The 16,652-nt window shown below is 39.8% G+C and overlaps 1 protein-coding gene and 1 pseudogene across 3 annotated transcripts in view; one reads left to right on the top strand and one right to left on the bottom strand.

Moving 5' to 3' along the window:
* The window catches only part of LYPD6 (LY6/PLAUR domain containing 6), a 156,394-nt gene that overhangs the window by 115,373 nt on the left and 24,369 nt on the right, over positions 1-16,652 (bottom strand). The window contains exons 1-3 of one of the 3 annotated variants that reach the window (XM_024452699.2): positions 3,150-16,652; positions 2,851-3,028; positions 389-486 (exon numbers count right to left, since the gene is read on the bottom strand). The exon at positions 3,150-16,652 is cut by the window's right edge and continues 23,133 nt beyond it. The exons of the other annotated variants lie outside the window; for them this stretch is intronic. The gene's annotated coding sequence lies outside the window, so the exon portion shown is untranslated. The remainder of the gene's footprint in view (positions 1-388; positions 487-2,850; positions 3,029-3,149) is intronic. 3 annotated transcript variants of the gene reach the window in all.
* On the top strand, positions 5,252-5,378 carry LOC124906190 (uncharacterized; annotated as a pseudogene).

The raw sequence follows: 16,652 nt of genomic DNA, 5'->3' as shown, positions 1-16,652 counted from the left end.
TAATTCTTGTACAGTTGTCATTAGCTACGTTCATTATTTTTAAGAGACAGGGTCTTACTCTGTTGTCTAGGCAGGAGTACAGTGGAGCAATCATAGCTCACTTACGTAACTTCGAAGTCCTAGGCTCAAGCAATTATCCTGCTTCACCCTCCTGAGTAGCAGGGACTACAGGTGCACACCACCATGCCCAGCTAACATTTTTTTATTTTTTGTAGGGACAGGGTCTCACTGTTGCCCAGGCTGGAGTGACACATTCATATTTTTATGTTTGCTTCTCATGGGATGTTCTTGAACTTACTTAGGAATTGTCCGAGTCTGTTTGTTCTGCTATAACAATATACCACAGACCGGGTAATTTATTTATAAGCAAGAGAAGTGTACTACTCACAGTTCTAGACGGTGGGAATTCCAAGATCAGGGCACCAGCAGATTCCGTGTCTGGTGAGGGCTGTTCTCTGCTTCCAAAATAGTGCCTTGTTGCTCACCCTCACAAGGTAAAAGAGATGGGAGGGAAACAGGGATGAACAGCACCCTCACGCCTCTTATATAAGGTCATTAATCCCACTCATGAGGGCTCCACCCTCATGAGTAAATCACCTCCTAAAGGCTCCACCTCTTAATACTATCACACTGGAAATTAAGTTCCAACATATGGATTCTGGAGGAACACAGACCACAGCAGGAACACAGGAGCATTTACTTCAGACAGGGACACTGGGCCCAACTTGGGGCTCCTATAAGGAGTCCTGGCCTGGCATAAGCTCTCTGTGTCAATCCCCTGGCATATGTAATACCAGATTCTTCAGTTGTCAAAGACCTTTAAATTGCTCTTCTCAGCATTTATTCAGTACATTTAAGGAGCAAAAGAAGAACTTAGGGTTTTATAAAGAGTAAATAATTCCTGTCACCAGAATCTGGACTTAATTTCTTAGCAGCTCACCCTCCAAATTATCTACATCTGCACCCCACTTTCCTGCCAGCCTTGGTGAGAGCCGTGGCCCGTTCCCGTCTGCTGCTAATCGCTCCACCTCTGTTCCCTCTTGATTTCTCGGGAATCTCAACCATCAGTTATGCCCTCCTTCAGCTGTATTGTCTACCCTCCCACTTTAATGCCTGTTCCTCCTCTTCCCCCACAGAGAAGCATACTTATGCCTTACCCGTCTAAATGAAAACCAACAATTTCCCACTTCTTTTCACAAACTTAGCTACTCAAAGTCATGGACTCACAGTCCTTTTCTTCCTGAATTCAATCCTTCTGTTGGGTCAGCGGCATCTAGCACAGTGGACCACTTCCTCCCTCCTCTTTGAATCTCTCCCTTTGTCTGGCTTTTTTGACCCCTCTTCCTGCCACTGTCTTCCTATCATTTCAGCTGCCCATGGTAGATACGATTCTAACTACATCCTTCTTTCTCTAAGGGCTGACTACAGCCAGGGTGGGCCCTCATTAGCCACATTTGTATTGCATGACACCATGGGCACCTTTCCAAGATGAAACGCTAGACTAAGTCTCCCAGAAAACTGGAGTTGAGGTCGAAAGGCAGTCAATTGGATGGGAGATCTCATTATCTGAGGAGGCTTCAACTCAGGAGCTGTGGGTATGTCACCCACACAGAGCAATGGAGGAAGATGGTTTTTAGACAGAAAAAGGGAACAGCCTTGCTGCAATATGAGGACCTTAGTGTGACAGAGTGCCTGCTGTGCTCCTGGAGACTTTTTGGGTCCTAGTTCCAGAACCTTGAGTGCCTTTGATAACCTAAATTCTAAAAAGTGTGTTTTTGCTTGAGCTAGCTTGTGTTGGCTCCCGTGGCCTGTAACCCCGGGAACCTTGATTATCATACCACTCATTTCTCCTCCTCTCTTACAGTGTCCTCTCCCCTCTAACTGCAGATGTCACAGGCACTCACCCTTCACCCTATTTCTCCTCTGGGTCCGCATACTCTCCCCTGGTGGTCTCCTCCACATTCACCTGAGCTCCAGATCTGGACACCCTGAAACACTGCTCATCTCTGCTCAGATTCCTACAAACTCCTATAATTAATAATTCCAAAACTAAACTCAAACGTATCACTTTCCCAATATTTTGTAGACTGGCGAGTCACCCCACCATCTACCCAGTCACTAAAGTCAGAAATCTAAGTCAAGCTTCCCTTCTTCCTCTGTTTCCCGCTCCACAACCAGTGCCATCACCCTGTCTTGATGATTCTGCATCTTTAGGATCTCAAATTCATTATCTCCTCTTCCTCTGACTTCACTGTATTTTAGACCCCCTCTCCCTTCACCTACATACTATTTGGTCTTCTTGTCGCCTAACACCCCTCCAATCCTTCTCTACTTCTAAAGCACAATCTGATTGGATTATCCCTTGATTCCTTTAAGGTAAAGTCCAAAATCCCTGGAACAACATCCAAGAACTCTGATGATCATTTTATTCCTGCCTACCTTGCCAGTCTCATCTTTTTATTTTTTATTTGTAGAGACAGGGTCTCACTCTGTCACCCAGGCTGGAGTGCAGTGGTGCAATCATAGATCACTGAAGCCTCTGACTGCTGGGCTCAAGTGATCCTCATGCCTCAGCCTCCTGAATAGCTGGGATTTCAGGCATCACCACACCCAGCTCCAGCCTCAATTTTTACTACTTTCCAAGAAGTCCCCTAAACTCCATCCATACTGAACAACTTGCAGTTTTGTGAGGTCCCAAATGCTCTCCTGCTTCTAAACCTTTATACCTAATACTCCAATGCCTCCCAGCAAAGCCTGCCTTCATTTCTTCAAAGGTTAAGTCCAACTAATTCAACTCTGTGTCACCTCTTCCAGGAAGCCTTCCTTGAGTGATGTCTAATACTCACCCACCTGCAACTTAGGATTAGGTTTACAGCCTCTGTGCTCACACAGTAGCTTTTGCATAACTTTTTCTCAGGCTTTTTGATGATATTCGGTAATTGTGCACTTCCATCTGTGTCTCTTCCATAAGACTGTAAGTTCCTTAAAGGAAGAGACGGTGTCTTTCTTCTACTTATATTCACGGTACCTGCGATTCAAAAAAGGCTTTTTGGATACCTTGTCCTGGAACACCCAGCCAGGAATTAATGAGATAAAAAGAAAACTGAAAATCTCCAGAACCAGAATATATTCCTTTCCCTCTAACACACCTTTGAAAATGAGAAGGAAAAGATAAGGGTATGTTTTTTCCCATTGTTTTGCTGGAGCTCGGAAGCCTCTTCTTTCTCTTGCTTGAGATTGCTCAAGGAGGTTGTTCTTTATGTGCATTTACAGAGTGGTTGGTCTTTCATGCCCTGCACAGTGCTAGCCCAGGGCTCCACAATCCAGTTCAGCACAAAGCGCTAGCTATGACCTCACAAAGGTTTTGTAAATATTTTAACTACGAAAAAAAGGTCTCTTCCCTCAAAGAATCTAAGATCCTGAAGGCTTGTTGGGATGGAGTCACATATCTCCTTGGCCTAGGATCCTAAGGTGCCCCTCGATCTGGTGTTAATGCGCTTGTGTAATCTCCTGCCCTTTAGTGTCGGCTGTTCTAGTGACTCTCTAACCAACAGAATATAGCAAAGATGGTGGATGTCTTTCCAGCAGACTATCTCTTGCTGGCTTTGAGGAGGCAAGTTCCAATGTTGAGAAGGCCCACATAACCAGGAACTGAAGGTGGCCTCCAAAGCAGTTAGGAACTGAGGCCCTCAGTCCAAAAGCCCTCAACAAACTGGATTATGCGGCAACCATGGGAGCATGGAAGTGGATCTTTCCCGGTTGAGCTTTCAGATGAGATCCCTGTCCTGGCTAACAACCGATTGCAGCCTTGTAATAGACCCTGAAGCACAGGACCCACCTAAGCCATACAAAATTTGAGATAATAAATGTTTGTTGTTTTACTTGTGGCAATTTGTTATGCAACAACAAATAATTCATACAATCTCCTTTATCCTGATTGACAGTCTAGCACCTGTAAAAAAGAAAAAAAAAACTTTTGTTTTTCAGCAGTTACATAGGAAGCCAGCATCATGTAAACGTTTAACTAAAAATGAAATAGCCTCTAAAAACAGGCTTGTAAATCATTTTCGTATTCTAAAAGCTAAGGCTAAAAGAATCACACATGACAGTGTGTAAAATGAAGTGGGGGGGAATGGAAACAAAGTTAAAACTTGTAAAGGGGCCCTGGAGAAAATCTGCAGGCTCCATTGGTTTATTTAACTTTTAAATCTTACTAAATTTGCTAGATGTGTGTTAGCATTCATGGTTCATTTACTTTTATTCTGACTTCTATAAATAGGTACTCTATGAGCCCTGATAAATGATTTAAAATCTTGCTTGACTTCAATAAAAAAATTAGCAAGTTAATCTTAAAAATTCTACACACAGAAATGAATGAAAACCTTCCTCTGGGCCAACCTCCACCCCCTGCAAGTGCACCTCCCCCAGTCCCTGGACTCTTCTTGCCATCCTTGTTCTTTTTCTCTGGCTCTGTGTTTATAATATCTGGCATTCTCCCAAATCACCTAGCTCTGGTTCTCTTGTAAAAACAAACAGAAGCTACCTGGGGCTCTTTATTCTCGCTCATTTACATTCTTTCTCTGCCAAGGGGTCAGGGATGTCAGAGTTGGTGGCAACCAGTCAAGCCCAGCATGGAATGGCCCTTATCTACCAATGCAGTGTTTTCCTGCCTGTGAACACGCCGGCATTTATTTATCTAAAATTGTAAGTAAAAATGTAGGTAACTGCCACAAATCAGAGACTAATGAATCTAAAAGTTCAGCCCAGAGCTATGACAAAAAGTAGACAAAAGCCTTATACAAAGCTCACATTTAATAAAAAAGGCAGGCAGTGGGTGAAAGGTGGAGATATAATCTATATGACCCATAAAATATATGGAAAACAAAAGCAAATGTGAAATTCCATGTGGTTTAATCATACAGAATGCAAGTTTGAATAATTAGCCACCCACACTGAAGCACAGCTTCCTTGTAAGTCATTAGTTGATGTGAGCTGAGAGTAATGTCGGTGTCATGTGTTCCACTAGTTGCACACATACGGTTATAAGATCTATCAGAATGTTCAACAGCTCTCCTCTCTGCCCTGATAGCCAGGGTTAGTCATCTAAATTGGTGTGTCCATTAACAGCATTTTTGAACTCCCAAGATTAAAATTGGTTGTTGAGGAACAAAAACATCAGATATCATAGTTTGTGGTCCTCCAAGGCTCAACCCTACCTGTCAAAATTTTATTCCTTAATATTTAATTTCTCTTCACTTCTCAGCCTTTTGGCTAAGATCAAGTGTAGTAGCTGTTCTTATCAGTTTAATATTTAATTTTTCTCATTAGGAAGAATGTAAATTAAATTAAATTTTTTTCCTAGGGAAGGAGGAGCAATAATAAAAATAAACGTTGAGAAACACAGCTGTAAATATGTAGAATTCTAAATGAGCACACAGAGAAGAAAATAAGCGTAAGAAATGCAGACACTGAAAAAAAAATCCTTAATAACAATCCAATAACCAGATCCATTTGTGCATTAAAAAAGCAGCAGAACTAGCGAAAGCCAAAGACAGGTTCTGACACAACACTGGAAACTCTGAACTTGAAATCAGAAGACCTACATTGATTCAGTTCCTAACATGTGATTATAAGTTGCACAACCTTAGAGAAAAGCTACTTATTTGGGTTCCTTTTCCTTTCTCTGTAAAAATAGAATGGAAATGTCTAATTCCAAGGTCCCTGCAATAGTTAAATGAGATAGTATTCATGAGGTGCTTTGCCAACAAGATGATGTGGTTCAGTTGAAAGGTAACATCATCCAGCAGAATTATCTGAACATTGGAGAGCTTTGCATGGGCAAAAGATTATATTAATAAGCCTAGAAGTGACACTACTGTGAATTAGTGGTTCAAGAGTGTTAGAGTGATGAAGGGGCTGTTCATTAGGAATAGTATGTCCTGTGTAGCAAAACACACCAATGACCTAAAGTGACTGATCTATTTTAAGGGGATAGTGAGAGAGATTCAAACCACTAAGAGATAGTGAGAGAATGCTTTTCTCCTATCAACTAAACCAGTGGTTTCAGCTTCAAATCACCTGGGGTGATTTTGAAAACTTCTGAAAAATGTCTGAACCTAGAAGATTGTGAGTACTCCAGAGATGCTACAGAGTAAGTGAACAATGACAAAGTTGCCGTGAGATATGCATTCTCATACACTACTGGTGGGAGTGTTAATTAGTACAGCCTTTAGGGAATACAATCTATTAATATGTATCTTTTTCTTGTTTGGTTTGATTTTAATGTTTTAAGTTGGTACCCTTCCTGGAGTAATTCTATGTCTAAGAATTCATCCCAGGGAAACAATGAGAGAGGAACAAAAATGTATCCAAAAGGATGCCCCTCAAAGTATCATTTTATGTCTGTATGTTGCACCAATCAGGATAGCTTGACTTTGAACATGCAAAAAAAAAAAAAAAAATTGTACTCTGTAAATCCATGTCATGGGCGGGAATATCTGACAAGTAAACAAAAGAAACAATAAATCAAAACAAGATGCTGTAAAAAGTCAGGTGTCATCTCAGCCAAAACTCATTAATTTTTCAAAAAGTTGAGAATTTGCCAATGAATTCAGGTCTGGTCAGGTCAGGCCTTCCATCATCCTGGTGATTTCAACTAACCTCAAAATCAAACAGCAGACAATTAGCAATTAAAGCATCTTAAAGGAATAAGTAACATTGCAGGCTAAGGCAGGACAGGGAAAAAGAGAATCAAATGTATTTCACTGGCTTTCTTTTTAAATTCCCTATCTTCTTGAGTCAGGACTCCCCAGGATTTGCAACTCAACACTGGCCTAAGATTCTCCACCACAAATGACTTTGCATTCTCAAGAGATTAACTGTTCACTCAAAGCCCTTCTGAAAAGCTGCTGAAATCATTGCAAATCTTCTATAAGTCGTACCTTCCTATGGGCTACAAGATAAAAATACTAGCTAAGGAGTGAGATAAGAAAGGCTCATTTTTTTAAAAGTAGGAAAGAAAATAAAGTTCTATGAAGGAGACTAAATTCTGAGCTTTCAGATTTTTAGTGTCAACAACCCAAAATATAAGAATGAGAACTAGGAGGGCAAAAGAGCATTTTTATCAAATGCATTTACCAAATATTATTAAGCCCCTACTCACCAAATGAATCAGACCAGCCAGGTAATCCTGGTATGAGGAAATCTGCAAAAGATCTACATCAACCAAATATATACTTATAAATAGCATATGTGTAGTGCCTGCTGTTTCTCAAAGCACTTTCCCATGTGATTTATCATTCAGTCTTCATATTAACCCCATAAGGTAAGCAGAAAAGGAATGATTTAACAAAGACAGGCACACAGATCTAGGTTAGCTGACTTGCCCACATTTACAGAGCCAACTGATTACTGAAGGCATCAATATTCAAATCTAGCTCTTCCAATTTTCTTCACGACATATCACACTAGGACAGCACACATAAATTGCATATATGTGACATGAGAACATGACTAAGCAGGATACAGCGCTGTGGCCACAGACCTGGGAGCCAGACTGCTCACTTCCAAGTCCCAGTGCCATCACATATTGGGTAGTGTGATTGGGGGAAAATTATTAAAACACTTTGTGCATCAGTTTTCTCATCTGCCAAATAGGGATAATAATGGTGCCATACAGTGATTATGAAGATCAAGTATAAATGTTGACCACAGTGACTGGCACACAGCAAAAGGTTCAATAAATGTTAGCTTTGATCATCATGGGCATCGAGAACAATTCTCTTGATTAGTCAAGGTCAGATGCAAATACACTAAGCCCAACTGCATGTTACATGTAAGTGCTGTTGATGGGGTTCAGAACATACTAACCCAAAATATGGCACCTTGGCATAGTGAAACTTTAAGGCTAAAGGAATGTGAGAAAAATTCCTTCAGTAGCAGGACGGTCTCTCTGACCTGCCCCCATACTTCTCCGCTGAAGCTGGTCAAAAAACTTAAGAAGGACTTTCTAACTTTCCCTTGAAGCAGATCATTGACCCTCATCTAAGAGGTGCTTCCCTATACCAGGACAAAAGGAACATCCTTGTCGCTAAAGATGAAGCGCCACTGTTTTGAGTTGAAAGTATCCCCCAAATTGCACGTGTTGAAAACTTAATCTCCCATGCAACAGTGTTGAGAGGTGGGATCTTTAAGAGGTGACTCGGAATGGATTAATGTCATTATCTTGGGAGTGGGTTATTTATCATAAGAGTACGTTCCTAAGAAAATAATGAGTTCTAGCCCCCTTCACTTCTCACCCTCTCATATGCACTCTCCTTCCCTTCTACCTTCTGCCATGGGATGATGTAGCAAAAAGGCCCCCAGCAGATGCCAGATCCTTGATATTTAACTTCTCAGACTCTGGAACCATGAAACAAGTAAACTTATATTGTTTATAAGTTGCCTAGTCTCAGCCATTCTGTTGTAGCAGCACAAAATGGATTAAGACAGTCATGGGCAGAATCTGAACAAACAGACCTTTCTAAGTTCTCCTCAATTTATTCCTATTACATTATACCCTTTTTATCCCATCATATTTCTCCACAACTATCCACTCGTTATCAAACCTAGCCTAAAAATACTCAGGTTTACCCATTTCTGTGGGTCTCAATTTCCTTATGAAGGCTCCCATGTCACATAAAAATTTATTAAATAAATTTGTATGCTTTTCTCTTGTTAATCTGTTTTTTGTCATAGAGGCCTCATCCATAAACCTACAATGGGTAGAGAAAAAAATATTTTTCCTCTCCTCCACTGTATTAGTTTCCTATTGCTGCTGTAACAAATTACCACAAAATTAGTAGCTCGAAACTTACACAAATGTGTTATCTCAAAGTTCTGAAGGTCAGAAGTCCAATATGGGTCTTACTGGGCTAAAATCAAGCATCTGCACAGTTTCATTCCTTATGGAGGCTCTAAGGGAGAATGAGCTTCCTTGCCTTTTCCAGAGGCTACATGCACTCCTTGGCTCATGGTGCCTTCCTTTACCTTCAAAGCACATCATTGCAACCTCTGCTTCTTCTGACTATCCCCTCTCTATGCCTGCTTCTCTCATCACATCATCTTCTCTGCCCCAACCCTCCTGCCTTTCTCCACCATGATAATAAGATAATAGCCCCATCTCAGGATCCTTAATTAACCACATCTAAGAAATCCCTTTTACCATGTAAGGTAACATACTGACAGGTTCCAAGGATTAGAAGATGCAAATCTACAGGGGACCATTATTCAATTTACCACAGGTACCAAGGATATAAAAATGAATTTGATACAACTGCTGAGCTCAAGGACTTCATAAACTATTGAATAAAACAGACATATTCAAAAAGAAAATTAATTCTCATGCACATCAGACTACAGCACTCAGTATGGTTAGAGAAGAAACAAAGTGCTCTGTGGGTAACAGAGGATCCATCTGTTTATCTCGACCAAGAAAGGAAAGGAGGACTCAAAGAAAGTGATGTGTATTTAAGAGACCAGAATACGCCATCCCAAAGTATGCCTCTTTGGCATAAAGATTATTTCAAGCTGATTATTTTGAACACTGAAAATACAGGAGAAGCTCTAAAAGCAGAGTAGAAGTTACCCTTTTGTAGGAAAATTTACATCTATAAAGGAAATCTCTATTTGTAACTGTGTCACCCTCTCTGCATCAGGAAAGATGACTCTAAATCACTAGAGACTTGTATTAATGGAGAAGGCACTGACTTAAATCTATATAAGGAATCTTACCCTTGTGTCTCACGCTTTTCCTGGTTACCTCCCATAACTGTATCCCCCAACAGCTTTCTTTGTTCTAGCTGAAGATGATATTTAAGCCTGAATTCAAATCTACCCTTTCGAGATTTACTCATTTATCTGGGTATCTCCCATGTATATTTGAAATATACATGTTAATAAACTTGTTTTTCTCATCTTAATCTGTCTTTTGTTACAGGGGTCCACCCCAACTAAGAACTATAAAGAACAGAGGAAAACAACTTTTCTTTTCCTACGCATGCATAGAATTGAGCACTGATGTGTGCTCAAACTGAGGTGATGAAGGGTGTCCCAGGAAAGTACATTGAAAAATTAGGAACATTGAATGGGCTGGTGTGATCAGAGTCTGGCAGATAAAGGGAGTAGAAAAATGATCAGAAGAAAATGTTGAAAAGGGACATCAAAGCTATATTGTGAAAGGCTACAGCTAGAGAAAAGGACTTTTCAATAGAATGAAAGGCCACTGAAGGCTACTGAACCCATCATTGAGATTTATATTTCAAAAAGAAAACTCCAGAGGCAGTGGAGACAGTGGACTGCAGAAGGCAGAACCCAATTTAAAAGCTACTTCAATAGTCCAGAGGGAAAAAAAAAAAAACAAGTAAAGACTAAATTAAGGAAGTAATATAGGAAATAGAAGCAAAGATAGATGTGAGAGACATTTCCAAAGTGATACCAACAGGACTCGATGACTAGCTGAATACTGTATAAGATGGAGACAAAATTGATGCTGAAATGACTAGCTCAAGTGCATGGTAGATGTTGATGCCACTGAGGTGTCAGAGGCATTTGAACCACAGCAACTCCATCTTGAATAGGGGCTGGGAAAAATAAGGCTGAGACCTACTGAGCTGCATTCCCAGGAGATTAAGGCATTCTTAGTCACAGGATGAGATAGGAGGCTGGTACAAAATACAGGTCACAAAGCCCCTGCTGATAAACAAGTTGTGGTAAAGAAGCTAGCCAAAACCCACCAAAGCCAAGATGGTGACAAAAGTGACCTCCAGTCGTCCTCACTGCTCATTATACACTAATTATAATGTATTAGCATGCTAAAAGACACTTCCAACAGCACCATGACAGTTTACAAATGCCATAGCAACATCAGGAAGTTACTTTATATGGTCTAAAATGGGCAGGAACTCTCAGTTCCAGGAATTGCCTACCTCTTTCCCAGAAAACTCATGAATAATCCACCTCTTGTTTAGCATATAATCAAGAAGTAACTGTAAGTATACTCAGGTGAGCAGCCCATGCCGCTGCTCTGCCTATGGAACAGCCATTCTTTTGTTTATTTTCTTCCTTAATAAACTTACTTTCACTTTACAATATGAACTTACCACAAATTCTTTCCTGCACGAGGTCCAGGAACCCTCTCTTGGGGTCTGGATTGGGATCCCTTTCTAGTAATAGAGGGATACAAAAAGTAGAGAAAGAGGAAGAAGTTCATGAAGGGCTATGTTTTAGATATGCTGATTAGAACCTTTCATGGAGTTAACTCTAAGAAAAAGAAAAAACAGGAAGAAATGCCATCTACATGTCTGAGAGACATGAAGGAATTAAAGGACCTGGCTTCTGGTCCTTTTCTGTAATTTAATAGCCTTGTGATGTCAAGTCACTCAAGTGATGTCAAGTCAGGGCCTTGGTTTCACCAACTGTGAAGCAGAAGGCTGGGATACGAGACAATCATTAAATTCCCTTCTAATGTTTATATGTGTCTAATATCTGAGACACTATTTTCTCCTCAGTTTCAAACATTTTTCTCAGCCACTCTTGACATTAGCCACTAACAGAAAATCCAGTGGCTCCTAAATTTCAACTAAAGAGCTGAAGTTTAAAAGGAGAAGCTAAAGACACTAGCAATCATTGTGTGCCTACTGTGTGCCAGGCACTCGGCCTGCCATACTCTCCTCCAGCTGCTTCTCCCATTAGCCTGGACACCCCCATAGGAATCTCAGAAAAGCTCTGAGTCATGAAAATCAAAGACATGCATGGAAATCAAAGATGTGCAGTCATGGAAATCAAAGACAGACATATATAATGTTAATTTTTTTTCCATTTCTGTTTTATGTTCCATTCCCAAACACTCCTTTAAAATATGTTTGTGCCAACAGCACAACAAATGAGTTTTTTTAAAATTTGATACTGAAAAATTACATAGAGGATCATGGGAGCATAGAGATGGAGGACGTAAGTATATTTTTCAATTGTTTTATTTAAAGAATAATAAATTGAGATAGTACTTTAATGGGGTCACTGATATTAAGGACTCCACTTAAAACTCAGTGGTTTCCACTGCCCATAGCAATAATTCTCAATGGAGAGGACACAAGGACTTATCACAATCACCTTGTGGGTTTTTAAAATTATTAATGTGCCCCTGTCCTCCACCCAACAAGATTCTGGTACTTCCCCAAGTTGACAATCACAGGAATATTCATCCTCCTCTTAAATTTAATACTGTAAACCAAAAACGTTGGAAAACTACTAATATCTAGAATAAAATTCAAATTCTAGTCAAATATATATATATATTTAGAAAATATATATATTTGCATATTCATCTCTGATTAGGGTCTATCCCACCTTTTTTGTGTCCCACTTCTAGATACTCACTCCCTTACACATTGACTCTAAATTTAAACAAACAACTTCCCCCAATTGCCCATGCCGCTTTATGCTCTAGGACTTGATTCACATTCTTTTGGCCTTCTTTCTGGCCCTCTCTGGGCACACCCAGTTAGCATAAGTGGCTTACTTCAAGTGTTATCTTCTAGTTAAAGCAATCCCTGAATGCAACCAGCCAGTCCCTATCTTTGTGTCCCCATTGTACTTTACGTCATGATTTCTCTAACTCTTTATTAAAGACTTGTTACTTGTCTATACGTCCCTAGTATGTTTTAGGTTCCCAGAGGTAGAGTAATCGATGTTTGCTGACTGAGTGAATGAATATGATAATATAATAGGAAGAAACAGCAAGTATATTATTTGGTCTCTTTAAGGCAAGGATATCTTCAAAATCCATTTATAGGTCCAGAAAACATTATTTTGTTTATTCACTATTAACAATTAAAGGTAAGAACTTCTAAAGGTAGTACTATTTTTGAAATATAATGTATTTCAGCCGGGCGCAGTGGCTCATGCCTGTAATCCCAGCACTCTGGGAGGCCGAAGCGGGCGGATCACCTGAGGTCAGGAGATCAAGACCAGCCTGGACAACATGGTAAAACCCTATCTCTACTAAAAATCCAAGAATTAGCCAGGCATGGTGGCACACGCTTGTAATCCCAGCTACTCAGGAGGCTGAGGCAGAAGAATCGCTTGAACCTGGAAGGTGGAGGTTGAAATGAGCCGAAATTGTGCCACTGCACTCCAGCCTGGGCAACAGAGTGAGGTTCTGTCTTAAAAAAAAAAAAAAAAAAGCAAAGAAAAGAAAGAAAGAAATGTATTTCATGATTTAGAGAGCACAGAATGAACCAGGCACACAAAATGGTCACTGAAAATTAATTGAATAAAATGTTTTAAAATTGTATTTATTCTACCATCATGTCAAAAACAAAGAGCAGAAATTGAACTATCACCACCTTAAAGTTCATGCTGTAGTGAGATTATAATTTGTAATACTAAAACAGTGGGACATTTATTTTTATTTCATCTGTGCTGAAACAGGTACAGTTTTAGCCTTTGGGGATATATTTATGGCCATATCAGTCAACAGGCCCAGAGAAACAGCTCTCAGGGAATATGATCATTACTGATTGCAAAAATAAAGTAACCATGTTAACATGTGCCAGGTGAGATTGTTATTGATGTGCACAACTATTAAATGGAACCCTGGAAAAAAGTGTCAGGAGACTATGTGTCCAAATCCTCCCTCAATCCTAAAAGACAATGCCTTTTCCTGCAAAAAGTGCTTGCTCAGTGTCAATCATAATGCAAACAAATCACACTGTGACACAGACACTTGAAGTTAAAGCTCATAAAGCTCTCTTCAGTAGAAGAAAAATCTAATTCAATGGTTAAATGCCAATCAGGGTAGATAACTAAGTAGGAGCCAAAAATACAAGGCTTAAAATTCTACTGCAACTCCTCTGGAAATGCATTATTACTGAATGGCTGTCAGAATTAGAACATTAAGTGAGTTAGCACCATTAACTTGGGGAAAAAACACAGAATGGCTCCTATTTAAGCAAATACAAAGAATCCCAGTAAATTTTTGAAGAGTTGCATGTTAAAATGGTTTGGAAAACTTTCTCAGCCTAAAAGTACATACAAGTGAATTTGGATAATGAAAACAAATCAGTAAACAAAGAAAAATCAAAATTGCTTTATCTACAACTATTACACATATGTTATACATACATAAAGAATCAAATATCTCCTACAGTAGACAAGAATATTTGGACTCCACTGATCCACTCATCCTGAAAAAACATTTAGCCTTTAAGAAAAGGGCATTATTTCCTTGGCCAAGCAGATTGTGAGCTTCACCATTTAACCTTTCCATCTGCCTTCTCCTGAGTTGCCACTTCCTCCTGCATGCCAAAAAGTAAATGAGGGGTACTGGGCTCAGGGGAAAGGATCAGAAGAGATCTGCTCTAAATCACCAACCCAGAAATTCTCCTCCTGTCTACAATATGTCTTGCCCCAAGTTCTTTACCAAATCATTAAAAGAAATGGCACTCAGGCTAGAGGTAATGGGGAAAAAGAAGACATCCAGAAGAGGCCAGTAGCCATACTTGGGAAGACTGAGGTGATGTGTCCATGTAGGGAAGGAAAACATCTCGTGTGTTTGAAGCTTCTCCAGCCCACAGTGATTTTTCTTTTACTAATACATAGAAAAGGGGTCACCAATGACAACTTTGTACAATGTGGTCCTACCTCCTGCCAAAACTTATTGGTCCATGTTGATATCTGTCCCAAGATAGGCCAATGAGCTTTCTTCCCTAGGATTGTTGAGTCTGGTACTGGAGAAAGCATGAGTCAGTCCTAAACGCTGGCATAAACTATGAGATGTGTACATTTCAGCAGCATCTGAGGACATCACTCCCACCTTGTTTGCATACTTGTTTTGCATTAAGAAAGAATGAAATCAGTAAGGTAATAGGAAAAAAAAAAAAAAGTGGGAAAAGAGTATTAAATGCTCTCAAGTCCCTGCTATTGCCCTGTTCTTCCAGCATTTTGACTATTTAACTCTTCTTTCAATTTATTTTACACTTAATAACATAACAGAGGGGTGGCACAGTTCATCGCCATAAAAATTTACTGTTAGGCAAGCACACAGACCCAGAGTGCAAAGGCCAATCCTCACAGAGTCCACAGAGAGTAAGTCAAGTGAAAGAGAAAGACACATTCTGGCCCATACATGAGATTAATGTTCCTAAGTTAATTTGAGCCAGGTATTTGCTGCTTACAAACAAGATTCTACATACTTGATAAGAAAAATAAAAAGATTTTATTCCTGGGTACCTTTGAACGTAATAGGAGAGTTAAGGGGATGACTAGTTTGAGAAATAAAGACCTCCATGACATTTGGCCATCTGAGTATACACAAGTCCCTTGTCTTGCTGACCACTAGGTTCCTTGGGAGCTGATTACTCATATATGTGGATATATGTGCATATATATGTATGTAGGTTTATGACTATCGGGTCTTAAAGCCAACATCTCCTCTCTGATTCAATGCAATCTCAAGATAACATAAGATTATTTTGGAAGGGTATCAAAAACAATTTTGAAGTCCTCAAAGAAGTTCTGAAAGTTTCTAATTTTCGAAAAGTGTATGCAAGACTCTGACAAAGTATTTAAAATGCTAATGTTTATGAGATAAGATTAATTGAAGACCATGTCTCATGCAGCTGATTAGAACTGACAACTGAGGCTGATTTAATTCCAATCATATCAGTGTAAACTATGCATTTTAGCAAAAGGTGATGTTACCAAAAAGATGTATTCTTCTACTGACACTAGCAAGTTTTGGTATTTAGAAATATAATGCTGAGACTGATGGTAGTTCTCTTGGGCACATCTTGATACACAACTCTATGAGCCTGCAATATTAAAAACACTCCAGACTAACATTTAATGTAACTTTGAAAAGATTAAGCCATTTACCAGGAACAGTTTTATCCCATAGGAAAAATATAATTAATTAAACAACTTTTAATTAAATAAATTCTAGTTTTCTCTATTTGAGTGTCTAGTGGCTACTTCATAACACCACAAGTGCTCTATGCTCATAAGTCTATGGTTCCTCAAACTCTTAAATGCCCCAATTCTCAGGGCTCACGAGCTTTCAAGGCAAACAAATCTGCACATTGTGAGTGAGTACAGGAGGCACAATTTTTGGCTAGCCCTACCATTACGTAAGCCAATATCGCCAAGGTTAGCTGCTTCTTCAAATTTTGCAGGTCATTAATATTCTTGAACTTCTATTCAAGCTTGAAGCATGTCGGCTTTTTCACAATGTATAAGGTTAATTGCATTCCAAGCCCCCTTATGCTGTACAGTGAAAAGAAAAGGTGAGCAGGTGGTTGATGGACTCGTCTCATGGTTTTCCAACAACACAGGTGCATTCCTTAATACAAATTAAATAATGGGGCCATAGAAAGCTGCTGTAGCTTGGTCTAATCTCTTATTCCTTCATGTGTTGATGCTCTGTGCCTCTGTTTTGAATGGTTTGCCTTTTAAAATGCTATAGGAGGCCAGGTGCGGTGGTTCATGCCTGTAATGCCAGCACTTTGGGAGGCTGAGGTGGGCAGATCACGAGGTCAGGAGTTTGAGACCAGCCTGGCCAACATGGTAAAACCCCGTCTCTACTAAAAATACAAAAATTAGCCGGGTGTGGTGGCATG

Source organism: Homo sapiens, chromosome 2, assembly GCF_000001405.40.
Source record: "Homo sapiens chromosome 2, GRCh38.p14 Primary Assembly".
NCBI classification, from domain to species: domain Eukaryota; kingdom Metazoa; phylum Chordata; class Mammalia; order Primates; family Hominidae; genus Homo; species Homo sapiens.
The sequence above is the reverse complement of the archived record's forward strand: the minus strand, read 5'-3'. Positions and strand labels throughout refer to the sequence as shown.